At 40.7% G+C, this 16,851-nt stretch overlaps 1 protein-coding gene across 20 annotated transcripts in view, besides 1 other annotated feature; it reads right to left on the reverse strand.

Annotated features, from left to right (window-relative positions):
• The window catches only part of ZNF667 (zinc finger protein 667), a 38,765-nt gene that overhangs the window by 4,010 nt on the left and 17,904 nt on the right, over positions 1 to 16,851 (reverse strand). For 19 of the 20 annotated variants that reach the window (XM_024451637.2, XM_024451642.2, XM_047439212.1 and 16 more), the window contains one exon: positions 14,817 to 14,909. In XM_024451637.2, the coding sequence (XP_024307405.1) occupies positions 14,817 to 14,909 (93 nt within the window). Of the gene's footprint in view, positions 1 to 6,218; positions 6,320 to 14,816; positions 14,910 to 16,851 lie in introns of all 20 variants that reach the window. The other variant, NM_001321355.2, reaches the window with a different exon arrangement.
• Positions 13,656 to 14,855: an enhancer, noted in NCBI's record as "MED14-independent group 3 enhancer chr19:56968363-56969562 (GRCh37/hg19 assembly coordinates)". NCBI's record gives its function as "activates an origin of replication core promoter dependent on BRD2, BRD4, P300/CBP and CDK7 cofactors, and independent of MED14, by STARR-seq in HCT116 cells {active_cell/tissue: HCT116}" and the evidence as "EXISTENCE:reporter gene assay evidence [ECO:0000049][PMID:35650434]".

Genomic DNA, 16,851 nt, shown 5'->3' on the forward strand with positions numbered 1-16,851 from the left:
AGTACAGTCACGGGTTGCTTAACAATGGGAACATGTTGTAAGACATGCATTGTCAGGCAATTTCATCATTGTGCAAACATCTTACAGTAGATTTACATAAACCTAGATAGTATAGCCTACTATACACCTATGTTATATTGTATAGCCTGTTCCTAGGCTACAAACCTGTACATGACGTTACTGTATTGAATCCTGTAGGCAATTTTAACACTATGATAAGTATTTATGTATCTAAATATACATAAATGTAGAAAAGGTACAGTACAAATAACAGTTTTATGATCTTATAGAACCATGGCCATATATGTAGTCTGTTGTTGACTGGACTGAAACATCATTATGCAGCATATGACTGTATTTAGATATTTACAAAGGTGAAGTCTTTAGCAAGAAGCAGGAAAAGCTCAGAAAAATAGGTAAGAGATTAGACTAAAAGAAGGAATCTATTTTGTAGTAAAATAGATCAATATGGCTGGCATAGGGTGCCAAAGTCCAAGGTGATATAAAATAACTACTTGTATGGCAAACTGACTATAAACCTGAGTGAATGTGGCATGATAAACACAGGCTTTAGAACTATGCTATCCAATATAGTAGCCATTAGTCACCTGTAGCTACTGAGGAATTGAAATGTGGCTGGTTTGAGGTATACTATGAGTATAAAACATATGCCAGACTGTGAAAATTTACTACAAAAAAGTATAAAGTATCTCATTGTAAAAATGCTGGTTATATGATATAATATGTTGGATATATTAGGTTAAATACATATATTACTAAAATTAATTTTACCTGTTTGTATTAGGAAGTTCCTATATTGCTATAAATAAATACTTGAGTGGGTAATTTATAAACAAAAGAGGTTCAATTGGCTCCTGGTTCAGTAGGCTGTACAAGCATGGTGCTGGCACCTCCTTGGCTTCTGGGGAGGCCTCAGTGAGCTCTTACTCATGGTGAAAGACGAAGTAGGAGAAGGCACATCACATGGTGAAACAAGGAGAGAGAGTGTGGAGGAGGTGCCACATATTACAACGATCAGATTTTGTAAGAATCACTCCCTATTGCTAAGACACCACCAAGGGAATGGTGCTAAGCCATTCATGAGAAACCCACCCCCATGATCCAATCACCTCCCACAGACCCCACCTCCAACACTGAGGATGAAATTTCAACATGAGATTTGGTGAGAAATCCACCCCCATGATCCAATCACCTCCCACCAGACCCCACCTCCAACACTGAGGATTAATTTCAACATGAGATTTGGTGAGAAACCCACCCCCATGATCCAATCACCTCCCACAGACCCCACCTCCAACACTGAGGATGAAATTTCAACATGAGATTTGGTGAGAAATCCACCCCCATGATCCAATCACCTCCCACAGACCCCACCTCCAACACTGAGGATTAAATTTCAACATGAGATTTGGTGAGAAATCCACCCCCATGATCCAATCACCTCCCACAGACCCCACCTCCAACACTGAGGATTAAATTTCAACATGAGATTTGGTGAGAAACCCACCCCCATGATCCAATCACCTCCCACAGACCCCACCTCCAACACTGAGGATTAAATTTCAACATGAGATTTGGTGAGAAATCCACCCCCATGATCCAATCACCTCCCACAGACCCCACCTCCAACACTGAGGATTAAATTTCAACATGAGATTTGGTGAGAAATCCACCCCCATGATCCAATCACCTCCCACAGACCCCACCTCCAACACTGAGGATTAAATTTCAACATGAGATTTGGTGAGAAACCCACCCCCATGATCCAATCACCTCCCACAGACCCCACCTCCAACACTGAGTATTAAATTTCAACATGAGATTTGGTGAGAAATCCACCCCCATGATCCAATCACCTCCCACAGACCCCACCTCCAACACTGAGGATTAAATTTCAACATGAGATTTGGTGAGAAATCCACCCCCATGATCCAATCACCTCCCACCAGGCCCCACCTCCAACACTGAGGATTAAATTTCAACATGAGATTTGGTGAGAAATCCACCCCCATGATCCAATCACCTCCCACCAGACCCCACCTCCAACACTGAGGATTAAATTTCAACATGAGATTTGGTGAGAAATCCACCCCCATGATCCAATCACCTCCCACAGACCCCACCTCCAACACTGAGGATTAAATTTCAACATGAGATTTGGTGAGAAATCCACCCCCATGATCCAATCACCTCCCACCAGGCCCCACCTCCAACACTGAGGATTAAATTTCAACATGAGATTTGGTGAGAAATCCACCCCCATGATCCAATCACCTCCCACCAGGCCCCACCTCCAACACTGAGGATTAAATTTCAACATGAGATTTGGTGAGAAATCCACCCCCATGATCCAATCACCTCCCACCAGACCCCACCTCCAACACTGAGGATTAAATTTCAACATGAGATTTGGTGAGAAATCCACCCCCATGATCCAATCACCTCCCACCAGACCCCACCTCCAACACTGAGGATTAAATTTCAACATGAGATTTGGTGAGAAATCCACCCCCATGATCCAATCACCTCCCACAGACCCCACCTCCAACACTGAGGATTAAATTTCAACATGAGATTTGGTGAGAAATCCACCCCCATGATCCAATCACCTCCCACAGACCCCACCTCCAACACTGAGGATTAAATTTCAACATGAGATTTGGTGGGGACACAGATCCAAACCATATCACTGGTTTTAGATTTTTATTTGAATGTGGATACTAAAGATTTTTTCAGTACATATGTGGCTCACATTATATTTCTATTTCATAGGTGTGCTTTAAAGGCAGACATTACTGAATTAACTGAGGTGTTTTTCATTTAACTGCATAATCTTGTGACACACTTGTTAACTCTATTACCATAAGCATATTATCTTGAAAATATAGATAATAATCACGTACCTCACAAGGTTTTCATGAGAATTAGAAATAATGTGCGAGATTTCTGGCACATGCTATGACCTCTAATCTGCCATTCCAGTATTCAAAAAGCTGAGAACCAAAGTCTTCTTTCCTTTTTTCTTTTCCTTTTTGAATACATATTTGGAGTGAAACCCCATCTGAAATGCAATGAGGCTATTCATAGCCTCCATTTATTGCTCTTAGGAAGTCTAGTCTTTGCAGCTATCTCAATGTGTTTGATTTTGGGGTACTGCTCCAGCCCCTGCTGGGTATGTTATGCCACACATAGTATATGACCTGTTCACCTTTCTAAAATCTGCACCATTCTGAATTCTGAAACACATCTTGCTCCAAGGGTTCTAGAGAAAGCTTTGTGGACCTGCAGTTGCTTAATAACTGGTAGTAGCTACCATTATAATTATTATTAGTAGAAGTTCCAGAAAACAACCAGACAAAATAAGGAATTAACACAGGAAGATAATGGAAATGTTTATAGTGAAGCTAGCAGCATCAGCAAAACAAGAAACCCAAGATTCCTCCTATAGTCCTTCCCACCCCACATCCCATTAAGTCACATCAGTTAAGCTGCTTCTCCCTCTCACATTTTCCTAAAACTCTTAGCTTCCCTTCCTTTTCCTTTGTACCTTCCTTTGTTCCTTCCTGTGTGGAATACTAACATATCCCCTCAGCCCATCTCCCCATCTTCAATGTGGAAATCCTTAAACCACACCAGACACCAAAATTAATCCCAGGTAAATTAGTTCAATATAAAGTACAAAATCATTACAAACTAAAATAATATGAAATCTACCCCAAATTCTTTCTAACTATGGAAATAAAAAGAAAAATTATAATGTGAATGCCAATACTTCCAATCACACAAAAATGAAAAAAACTTTCATATAACCAAGTAGAAAAATAAGAGGTAAATAAAATAAAAAGACTTAGGAAAGAATGGGGAAATATTTGAAGTCAAATGTAATGTCATATGGTTAATGTATTTTCTATATGAAAGCTTACTATACAAGCAGAAAATAAAAAAGTCACTGCTAGATAAAAGGGGAAAGATCACGAAAAAACAATTCACGAGAATAAGTAAAAACAGAAAACAAATGCTAGTAAATCTACAAGAAAGATTTATGGCCTATCCAGTATGGGTAAACCAATATGGATATCCAGTCTATCCACAAGGGCTCAAGAAACAAACTGGTACTTGGGAGGCTGAGGCAGGAGGACTGCTTGAGCCCAGGAGTTTAAGGTTGCAGTGAGCCATGACTGCACCACTACACTCCAGCCTGGGTAACAGAAGACCCTGTCCCTGTCTCCTTAAAAAAAAACAAACAAACATGGTGACTCACACCTTTAATCCTAGCACTTTGGGAGGCCGAGGTGGGTGGATCACAAGGTCAGGAGTTCAAGACTATCCTGACCAACATGGTGAAACCCCATCTCTACTAAAAACACAAAAATTAGCTGGGTATGGTGATGTGTGCCTGTAATCCCGGCTACTCAGGAGGCTGGGGCAGGAGAATTGCATGAACCCAGGAGGCGGAGGTTGCAGTGAGCTGAGATGGTGCCACTGCACTCCAGCCTAGGTGACAGAGGGAGACTCTATCTCAAAAAACAAACAAAACAACTAAAAAGGAGAAAGTGGAAGAGCCAGATGGCCAAATAGAGCCCTCCAGCGATTGCCCCCTCTGCAGTAACGCCAAATTGAACAACTATCCACATAAGAAAACACCTTCATAGGAACCAAAAATTAGGTGAGCAATCAAAGTATCAAGTTTTAACATCGTATTCAAAGAAAGAGGCACTGAGGAGGGTAGAAAAGACAGTCATCATATGCCTGCACCACCCCTCCCCCAATGCCTGGCAGTGCAGCATGGCAACAAGAGAGAATCTATGTGTTTGGAGGAGGAAGAATGGAGTGATGGTGGGACTCTGCATTGGAACTCAGTGCTGCCCTGTCACAGCAGAAAGCAACGTGGGGCAGAATTTGGCCAGCACCCCCAGAGGAAGCATTTAAATCAGCTCTAGCCTAAGAATTGTCCACCACAGTGGTGGAAACTTGAGTTCCAGCAAGTACCCCCACCACAGACTAAAACACTCTGGTGTCCTAAGTAAATCTGAAAGGCAGTCTAGGCCACAAGGACTGCAATTCCTGGGCAAATCCTAGTGCTGTGCTTGGCTCAGAACCAGTGGACTTGGGGTACCTGCTACCCAGTGACATACCAGTGACACACCAGCTGGAGTGGCCAAGAGAGTGTTTGTATCAACTCTCTCCCAACTCCAGGCAGCACAGCTGGCAGCTCCAAGGGGAGAGGGAAGAGTAAAGAGGACGTTGTCTTGCAACTTGGATATCATCTCAACCACAGTAAAAAAAAAAAAGTGCCAAGCAGTGTCCTGAAGGCCTCATTCTAGGCCATAGGTCCTGGACAAGATTTCTAGACCTACCCTGGGCCAGAAGGCAACTCGCTGCCCTAAAGGGAAAAACAGGCCTGGAAGAATTTACCACCTGATGAATTAAGACCTCTTGGGCTTCGAATAAACATCAGTGGTAGCCAGGCAGTGGTAGCCACAGGCCTTGGGCAAGAATGAGTACTACGCTGGCTTCGGGTCAGACCCAGCACAGTCCCAGTGTTGGTGGCCATGGGAGTGTTTGTATCATCCCTTCCCCAACTCTAGGCAGCTCAGCACAGAGACAGAGAGACTCCATTCATTCAGGGAAAGTAAGGGAAAAGAATGACTTCCTGGTAATCTAGGGAATTCTCCTGGATCTTACCAAAGACCACCAAGGCAGTACTTCTGTGAGTCTACAAGAGTCACAGAGTTACTGGCCATGGGGTGACCCCTAATGCAAACATGGCTGCAGTGAACAAAGACACATCCTAGCCCCTTTGAATACATGGAGAGTCTTCTCTGGAAGGACTAGTACAAACAAGCCCAGACTACAAAGATAAGAATAAATACCTAATTCATCAATGACCAGGTACTGACAAACATCCATAAGCATCAAGACCATCCGGGAAAACATGACCTCACCAAATGAACTAAATAAGGCAACAGTGACCAGTTCTGGAGTGACAGAGCTAATGTGACCGTTCAGTCAGAGAATTCAAAATAGCTATCTTGGCCTGGCATGGTGGAGCATGCCTGTAATCCCAGCACTTTGGGAGGCCAAGGCGGGCGGGTGGATCACCTGAGTTCAGGAGTTCGAGACCAGCCTGACCAACATGGTGAAACCCCGTCTCTACTAAAAATAAAAAAAAATTAGCTGGGCATAGTGGGACACACCTGTAATCCCAGCCGCTCGGGAGGCTGAGGCACGAGAATTGCTTGAACCCAGGAGGCGGAGGTTGCAGTGAGCCGAGATCATGCCATCATTGTAGTCCAGCCTGGGGAACAGAGAGAAACTCTGTCTCAAAAAAAAAAAAAAAAAAGCTATTTTGAGGAAGCTCAACAAAATCCAAGATAACACAGAGCAGGAATTCAGAATCCTATCAGATAAATTTTAAAAAGACATTGAAATAATTAAAGAGAATCAAGCAGAAATTCTGGAGCTGAAAAATTCAGTTGACAAATTAAAGAATGCATCAGAGTCTCTCAACAGCAGAATTGATCAAGCAGAAGAAATAGTGAGCTTGAAGATGGGCTCTTTGAAAATATAGTCAGAGGAGTCAAAGGGAAGAAGAATAATAAAGCATGCCTACAGGATCTAGTATATAGACCCAAAAGGGCATATCTAGGAGTTAGTGGCTTAAAGAGAAGGCAGAGAGACTGGGGTAGAAAGTGTATTCCGAGATAGTAACAGAGAACTTTCCAAACCTGGAGAAAGATGTCAAAATTCAAGTACAAGGAGGTTATAGAACACCAAGCAGCTTTAATCCAAAGAAGGCTACCTCAGATAATTTAATAAACTCCCAAATGTCAGGGATAAAGACATGATCCTAAAAGCAGCAAGAGAAAAGAAACAACATAAAACGGAACTCTAATACATCTGGCAGCAGATTGCTCAGTGGAAACCTTATAGGCCAGGAGAGAGAATTATGATATATTTAAAGAGCTGAAGAAAACAAAAACATTTATCCTGGAATATTATATCCAGTGAAAATGCCCTTCAAACAGGAAGGAGAAATAAAGACTTTCCTAGACAAACAAAAGCTGAGAGATTTTGTCAACACCAGACCTCTCCTACAAGAAAGCCTATAGGGAGTTCATCAGTCTGAAAGAAAAGGATGCTAATGACGAATAAAAAGTCATCTGAACATACAACACTCACTAGCAATAGTAACTGCACAGATAAATACAAAATATTATAATACTGTAATTGTGATGTGTAAACTACTCATATCTTAAGTAGGAAGACTAAAAGACGGACTGACAAAAAAACGGCAACTACAACAACTCAAGACACACAGTATTAAAATATAAACAACAAAAAGTTTAAAAGCAGAGGAGATAAATTTAAAGTATAGGGTTTTTATTAGTTTTCTCTTTGCTTGTTTGTTGGTTTGTTTTTGCAAAGTTAAATTGTCATCAGTTTAAATTAATGGGTTATAAGATATTATTTACGAGCCTCATGCTGACCTCAAATAAAAAATATGTAAGAGATACACAAAAAATATAATTCAAGAAATCACTTTCACAAGGAAGACAAGAAGGAAAAAGAAAAGGCCACAAAACAACCAAAACAAATAACAAAATGTCAGTAGTAGGTCTCTACTTATAAATATTAAATGTACATGGACTAAATCTCCAGTCAAAAGCCACAGAGTGGCTGGATGAATTTTTAAAAAGACTCAATGATCTGTTCCCTATAAGAAACATGATTTGCCTATAAAGACACACATAGACTAAAAATAAAGGGAGGGAAAAAAAATCCCATGCAAATGAAAACCAAAAAAGAGCAGGAGCAGCTATATTTAGATAAAATAGAGCTTAAGACAAAAAGTATGGAAAGATACAAAGAAAGTCATATAATGCTAAAAGGATCAATTCAGCAAAGGGATATAACAATTGTAAATATATACACACCCAACAATGGAGCACCGAGATACATAAAGCAAATATTTTCAGAGCTAAAGAGAGAGACAGACCACAATACAATAATTGTTGGAGACTTAACCACTTCATTTTCAGCATTGCACAAATCATCCAGACAGAAAATCAACAAAGAAACATCGGACCTAATGGACCTAATAGATATTTACAGACAATTTCATCCAATAACTACAGGTTACACATTCTGCTCAGCACATGGATCATTCTCAGGTATAGACCATGAAATATTAGGACACAAGACAAGTCTTAAAAATCCAAAAAAAAGCTGGGTGCACTGGCTCACACCTCTAATCCCAGCACTTTGGGAGGCTGAGGCAGGTGGATTGCTTGAGCTCAATAGTCCAAGACCAGCCTGGGCACCATGGTGAAATCCCATCTTTAAAAAAAATGCAAAAATTAGCCAGGCGTGGTGGCACATGCCTGTAGTCCCAGCTACTCAGTAGGCCAAGGTGGGAATATTGCTTGAGCCTAGAAGGTTGAGGCTGCAGTGAGTTGTGATCGCACCACTGTATTCCAGCCTGGGTGACAGAGCAAGACCCTGTCTCAAAAAAAAAAAAAAAAAAAAAAAAAAAAAAACTTTCAAATTGAAATCATATCAAGTATCTTCTCTGACCACAATGGAACAAAACTAGAAATCAATAATGAGAAGAACTTTGGAAAGTATACCAACACATTGAAATTAAACAATATAATACTGAATGACCAGTGGGTCAATGAAGAAATCTCTTTTTTTTTTTTTTTTGAGACAGAGTTTCGCTCTTGTTGTCCAGGCTGGAGTGCAATGGCGCGATCTTGGCTCACTGCAACCTCTGCCTCCTGGGTTCAAGCGATTCTCCTGCCTCAGCCTCCCGAGTAGCTGGGATTACAGCCATCCACCACCATGCCTGGTTAATTTCTTGTATTTTTAGTAGAGACAGGGTTTCACCATGGTGGCCAGGCTGGTTTCGAACTCCTGACCTCAGGTGATCCGCCCACCTCGGCCTCCCAAAGTGCTGGGATTATAGGCGTGAGCCACCACCCCCGGCCTGAAGAAATTTCTTAATTAAAATTTAAAAATTCCTCAAAACAAATGATAATGAAAACACAACATATGAAAACATGCTGCAACCTATGGGATACAGCAAAAGCAGTATGAAGAGAGTTTGTAACAATAAACGCCTACACCAAAAAAGTAAAAAACTTCAAATAACCTAATGATGCATCTTAAAGAACTAGAAAACCAAGAGCAAACCAAACCCCAAATTCGCAGAAAAAAAGAAATAGTAAGGATCAGAGCAGAAAGAAATGAAATTTAAATTAGAAAACCACAAAAGAGCCTGGGCGCGGTGGCTCACACCTGTAATCCCAGCATTTTGGGAAGCCAAGGTGGGCGGATCACCTGAGGTCAGGAGTTCAAGACCAGCCTGACCAACATGGTGAAACCCCATCTCTACTAAAAATACAAAAATTAGCCAGGCGTGGTGGCGGACGCTTGTAATCCCAGCTACTCAGGAGGCTGAGGCAGGAGAATTGCATGAACATGGCAGTGGAGGTTGCAGTGAGCCGAGATTGTGCCACTGCACTCCAGCCTGGGTGACAGAGCAAGACTCTGTCTCAAAAAAAAAAAAATGCCACAAAAGATCAACAAAATGAAATTTTTTCAAAAACATAAACAGAATTGACAAACTTTTAATCAGATTAAGAAAAAAAGAGATAAGACCAGAGATGCAAAAGGAATGATTGCAACTGATACTACAGATACTCAAAGGATCATTAGAGACTACTATGAGCAACCTAGGCCAATACATTAGAAAACCTAGAAGAAATAGATAAATTCCTAGACACATACAACCTACCAAGACTGAATCATGAAGACATCCAAAACCTGAACAGAGCAATAACAAACAATGAGATTGAAGCTGTAATAAAGTTTCCCAGCAAAGAAACACCCAGGACCTGACAGCTTCACTGCTGAGTTTTACCAAATACTTAAAAAAACCTAATACCAATCCTACTCAAACTATTCCAAAAAATAGAGGAGGACAGAATACTTCCAAACTCATTCTACAAGGCCAGTATTACCCTGATATCAAAACCCAAGGACACATCAAAAAAAGAGCTTAATATTAATTCAAGAATCCTCAACAAAATACTAGCAAACTGAATTCAACACATTAAACAGATCTTTCATCATGAACAAGAACGATTAATCCCAGGAATGCCTGGATGCTTTGATATATGCAAATCAATGATATATATAAACAGAATGAAGGACAAAAAACATATGATCACTTCAGTTGACGCTGAAAAGCATTTGATAAAATTTAACATCCCTTCATGATGCGATCCCTCAAAAAACTGGTTATAGAGGAACATTCCTCAACACAATAAAAGCCGTATATGACAGACCCATGGCTAGTATAATACTGAATGGAAAAAAAACCTGAAAGCCTTTCCTCTAACATCAGGAAAATAAAAAGAATGCCCACTTTCACAACTATTATTCTACATTCAACATAGCACTGGAAGTCCTAGCTAGAGCAATCAGAGAAGAGAAAGAAATAAAAGGCATCCAAGTTGGAAAGGAAGACGTCAAATTCTTCTTCTTTGCAGATGATATGATCTTTTAGTTGGAAAATCATAAAAAATCCACCTAGAAACTATTACAACTGATAAATTTAGTAAAGTTGCAGGATACAAAATCAACATATAAAAATCCAGCAGCATTTCTATATGCCAACAGTGAGCAATCTGAAAAAGAAATCAAGTAATCCCATTTACAATAGCTACAAATAAAATAAAATACCTAGGAATAAACTTAACAAACACAGTGAAATTACAATGAAAACTACAAAACCTGATGCAAGAAACTGATGAGGACACAAAAATATGGAAAGATAGTCCATGCTCATGGATTTGAAGAATAATTATTAGTAAAATGCCCATACTACCCAAATTAATCTACAGATTCAATGCAATCCCTATCAAAATATCAGAGACATTCCTCATAGAAATAGAAAAGGTAATCCTAAAATTTATATGGAACCACAAAAGACCCAGAATAGCTAAAGCCATCCTGAGCAAAAAGAATAAAACTGTAGGAATCATATTACCTAAGTTCAAATTATACTACAGAGCTATAGTAATCAAAACAGCTTGGTACTGAGATAAAAACAGACACACAGACCAATGGAATGGAATAGAGAACCCAGAAATAAATCCATACATCTACAGTGAATTCATTTTCAACAAAGATGTTACAAATATATATTGGGGAAGGGACAGTCTCTTCAATAAATTGTGCTGGAAAAACTGGATATCCACATGCAGAAGACACTAGACTCCAATCTCTTGCCATATGCAAAAATCAAATAAAAATGGATTAAAGACAAATCTACGACCTAAAACAATCAAACTACTAAAACAAAACACGGGCAAAAGTCTCCAGGACATTGGTCTGGGCAAATATTTCTTGAGTAATACCCCACAAACACAGGCAATGAAACTAAAAATGGACTAATAGAATCATATCAAGTTAAAAAGCTTGGGCACAGCACAGGAAACAATCAACAAAGTGAAGAGACAATCTACTGAATGGGAGAAAATATTTGCAAACTACCCATCTGACAAGGGATTGATAACCATAGAATACATAAGGAGCTCAAACAACTATATAGGAAAAAAATGTAATAATCCAATTAAAAAATGGGCAAAAGATCTGATAGACATTTCTCAAAGACATACGTACACATGGCAAACAGGCATATGAGAAAGTGCTCAACATCACTGATCATCAGAAAAATGCAAATCAAAACTACATGGTATCATCTCACCCCAGTTAAAATGACTTTTATCCCAAAGCAGGCAAAACAAATGCTGGTGAGGATATGGAGAAAGGGGAACCCTCGTACACTGTGGGAATGTAAATTAGTACAGCCACTATTGACAACAGTATGGGGGGGTTCCTCAAAAACTAAAAATAGGAACTAATATATGATTCAGCAATCCTACTGCTTGGTATATACCCCCCCAAAAAAATAAATTAGTATATAAAAAAGATCTCTGCATTTCCATGTTTATTACAGCACTACTCACAATAGCCACATGACCATCAACAGTCATGCAGTAGTATTTAGCCATAAAAAAGGATGAGATCCTGTAATCTGCAACAACATGGATACAACTGGAAAACCTTATTTTAAGGGAAATAAGCCAGACACAGACAACCTTCACATGTTCTCACTCATTTGTGGGAGCTAAAAATCAAAACAATTGAACTCATGGATATAAGAGAGTAGAAGGATGGTTACCAGAGGCTGGGAAGGGTAGCAGAAAAAAGGAGATGGTTAGTGGGTACAAAAATACAGTTAAGATGCAATAAATACAATCTACTATTTGATAGCACAACTGGGTGAATACAGTCAGCAATACTTTGTTGTACATTTTAGAACAACTGAGAGAGTACAATAGGAATGTTTGTAACACAATAATAAAAGCTTGAGGTGATAGATACCTCACATACCCTGATGTGATTCTTACACACTATATGCCTGTATTGAAATATCCTATGTGCCCTGTAAATATTAATATATACACCTCTATATCCCGTAAAAATTAAAGAGAAAAAAATTTAAAAAGGTGAACTGCCAAGGCTTCAAACCTTCTACTGCATCTCCCGGACAGGAGATCCTAGGCAAGTTATTTAACATTTCTAAGACTCAAACCCTCATCTTGTCACTTGGGAATGACAGAGATTTCTACAAGTGTTGTGAGGACTAAATGAAATGCTGAACTTACAGGCTTTAGCACAGAATCTGCACAAAGTAAGTTCTCAATAAATGCTGACTGCTATTAATTCATTTTACTAAATAAAGAGAGACATTTTAATGGCAATATCCAATACTAGTGAGTATGAAAAATCAAACCCTGTTGCTATTGATGGTGCTGATTTGATAATTCTCCTTTTTAAGTTGTAGTCATGGTTATGATTTATTACAGCAAAAGGATTCAAAGCAAAGTGTGCAAAGGGAAATGGGGCAGACTCTAGAGGAAACTGGTCACAGCTTTCAGGAGCTGTGTCCCTGTGCAGTCACACAGGCTGCACTTCATTCCTCCTGCAACAAATTGCGACAACACACCCACAATTTGTGAAATTTCACAATTGTGAGACCTCGCAATTGTGAGAAATGTCTTCTAGATAAAGACCTAGTGCCTAGGGTTTTTTACTGGGGGCTGGTGATATGACAATTCTTCTGCAAAGTAATTCAGAAGTATCTAGAGCTCCCCCTCTGTGACTCAGTACTATAGAAAACAGGCAAAAGCACTTAATGCAGATACGCTGATGTTAATAATAATAAATTAGAATCTAAATGGAAAATAGGACATGAGAGACTAGTAACATAGAACATTTCTACTAAAACAAAATGTGAAAAAAGCAGAAATATATAAACCTTATAATAACGATGAAATCCAATTTCATTAAATAAACAAGTAATCAGTGATAACTCTATGTATAAACTGTTTTTGTCTTTTCCTTTTTCTAAACTTTGTTATATGACTAAATTTCTTCTAAACTTAAAAACAGTATTTTAATAAAGGATATTTCTTCATGTTGAAATTAAGATGTAAAATAATGCACGTGTCTTCTTTTTGCACTGTGCTTCCATCTGGCTTCCGTTACACACCCTCAGAACCTGGACGTCACCAAAGCCAGACGCTCGAGGTGGTGCCGTTTTCTCCCAGCCTACACCAAAATGTTGATCCCTAGCTCCTAGATGACGCATCCCATCTAAGCAGAAACTCAATGAATGCTACTTAAAGAAACAAACATACAAAATATATAACTTGGCCAACCAAAGAGGAACCTATTTGTCAATGAATCCTTGAAAAGTAGCTGAAAAGAACACTTGGAGAAAAGAGTTAAAAAATATTTTTAAAAGAATCACAAAAATCATGCAGATTTGAATGTTATCGTAAGTATTAACAGAGAGGGCAGTCTACACCTTCTCTGAAAGGAAATACGAAAGCAGAGATGCAGGGGGACAGGTGGGCATAAGGGTGTGGAGAGCTGAGCTTCTGGAAACAGGCAGAGGCTGTTTGGCGCTCTGAAGAGGGTCTGGGCCTCAAACCCTCCTCTGCTGCTCCTTCCTAGCTGGGTGACCTTGGGCAAGTCAACAAACCTCTCTGGGCCTGTTTGCTTATCTATAAAGTAGGGGTAATAACAGCACCCACCTTATGGGGTTGTTGGGAGGAAGACCCTGAACTTAGAAGAGTGCTTGATACCTAGTAAGGGCTTACTAAATGTTGCTTTTTCTTCCTCCAGGACTCATACTGAAGAGACTTGAATTCTCTGTACAGGCCTGGAGCCTTCAGTGGGAGAGGCACACAAATAATCTCTTAAAGAGATTGCCCCCTCACAATTACATGAGCTCTTATGCAGAACACCTGCCTCTATGCTGCAACAGATTGAACGTTTATGTCTCCCCAAATGCCTATGTTGAAATTTTACCATCTAAGGTAATGGTATTAGGAGGTGGGGCCTTTGGGAGGTGTTTAAGTCACGAAGGTGGAGCCCTCATGAATGAGATATCATCTATAATCACCTATAATCTCTCTCCCAGAGAGCTCCCTCACTCCTTCCTCCATGTGCAGACACAGCAAAAAGGTGCCACCTATGAACCAGAAAGCAGTCCTCACCAGACACCGAATCTGCTCATGCATTGATCTTGGACTTCTCAGCCTCCAGAACTGTGAGAAGTAGATTTCTGGTGTTTGTAAGTCACCTAATATATGGCATTCTGTTATAGCAGCCCCAGTAGACTGAGACATATGCCTTGGTTCTCTGTCACTCACCAGGAGCCCGGCGTCTTCTTACTGGCTCTACCATCCAGGGTGCTTTCCCTTTCTCCAATAAGGTGATCACATTTGGTCTCCGAAAGGAAAGACCTGTACGTGGGACAAACATGGGAAATGATCATAAATGTGGGCACCACAGAAGTCAGAGCCACGCTCTGCATCAACAGGAATGCAGGTTTAGTAGCATGAAGGGAGCACAGAGGATGTGAAGGGCAGCTGGAGAATGGGGAGTGTGATATTGTGATTTATAAGAATATGTATTTGCTTTTCATCCCTGTTTCCGGCACACAGCTCCTTAAACCCTGGGAATCTCCTGCATATGTGTCTTTTCTATGTTAATGAGAAGACTGTGACTGGGGGCTCCTGGACAGCCTTCAGATGGGGGCTGGTTGCCGATCATGTGATTAGAGGATTGGAACTTTCAGCCCCATCTCCTGACCTCTGGGGAGGGGTCAGAGGCTGGAGGTTGAGCCAATCACTAATGGCCAATGATTTAATCAACCTTGCCTACCTGAAGCCTCCTTAAAAACTCCAGTGGACTGGGTTTGGAGAGCCTCAGGGTTGCTGACCACGTGGAAGGTGGTGCAGTAGAGGGTGCATGCTCTGTGTCCCTCCCCCCATAACTTACCCTCTGCATCTCTTGCATCTGGCTGTTCAACTGCATCCTCTGTAATATCTTTTACACTGAGTTGGTAAGCATAAGTAAAGCGCCTCCCTGAGTTCTGAAAGCTACTCTAGCAAATGACTGAACTTGAGGAGAGGGTCATGGGAATCCGCTAATTTAGAGCTGGTCAGTTGGAAGGCCTGGACATGCAACTGGCCTCTGAAGTAGGGGACAGTCCTGTGGGACTGGGCTCTTACCCTGTGGGATCTGACACTATCTCCAGGTAGACAGTGTCAGAATTGAATTGGAGGACACCCAGCTGGAGTGTGCTAGAGAACTGTTTGGTGTGTGTGGGAAAACCTCCAAACATCTGGTGTTAGAGTGTGCGGTGTTGAGTTTGGTTGTTTAAATCTCACATGGAAAGGCAGGAATCTAAATTATAGCCAGTAGAGTTGTTAAATTTTAATTCGACAAAGCAAACTATTTTCCTGAGAATTGAGTCAGAAACTCCTGAGGCTGGTTATGAAGTTACTGTCTTTCTGCTCCAGACCCTCACCCTTCTATTATCTGTTTTGTGGTGCCAGGGTGGGGGCCTTGCTGTCTTCACTTCTGCTTCACCAGCTGCTTCCTGTCAACATCCACCAATAGGGGCTTTGTTGGTTTCTATGTCTGGGTTTTTTAGTTCTGTACTCCCAGAACCAGTTTCATCTGGCTCCTCAGAAGTATAAACAAACCAGGCAGCACACTGCCCCCTCCTTCAGAAGTTCTGAGTCCCAGATCCGAGGGGACCTTCCTTAAAGCGCTAAAAACCCCAAACTCTTCCCTTTGTCCCTCCAACCCCAGGAATGGTGGCAGCATCCTGCAATTACTGTCTCTGTGTTACATCAATGTCCACTATTCACCTTTCAACAACACCTCTTAAATCAATTCCTTAAATTCTATCAAAAGAGGGCTGAGTGCGGTGGCTCATGCCTGTAATCCCAGCACTTTGGGAGGCCGAGGTGGGCAGATCACGAGGTCAGGAGATCGAGACCATCCTGGCTAATACGGGGAAACCCCATCTCTACTAAAATACAAAAAATCAGCTGGGTGTGATGGAGCGTGCCTGTAATCCCAGCTACTCGAGAGACTGAGGCAGAGGAATCCCTTGAACCCAGGAGGCGGAGGTTGCAGTGAGCTGAGATTGCGCCACTGCACTCCAGCCTGGCGAAAGAGCAAGACTCTGTATCAAAAAAAAAAAAATTTATACCAAAAGAATTCAAGAGTTACCTACAGAGTTTCCATAAGACCCAGCAATTCTACCCCTAGGTATATGCCCCAGAGAAATGAAAACATACATCCACACAAAAAATTTGTATATGTTCATAGCAGCATATCAAAATAACAAGAGTGAAAACAACCCAAATGCCCATCTATTAACTGATGAAT

Source organism: Homo sapiens, chromosome 19, assembly GCF_000001405.40.
Source record: "Homo sapiens chromosome 19, GRCh38.p14 Primary Assembly".
Lineage (NCBI taxonomy): Eukaryota > Metazoa > Chordata > Mammalia > Primates > Hominidae > Homo > Homo sapiens.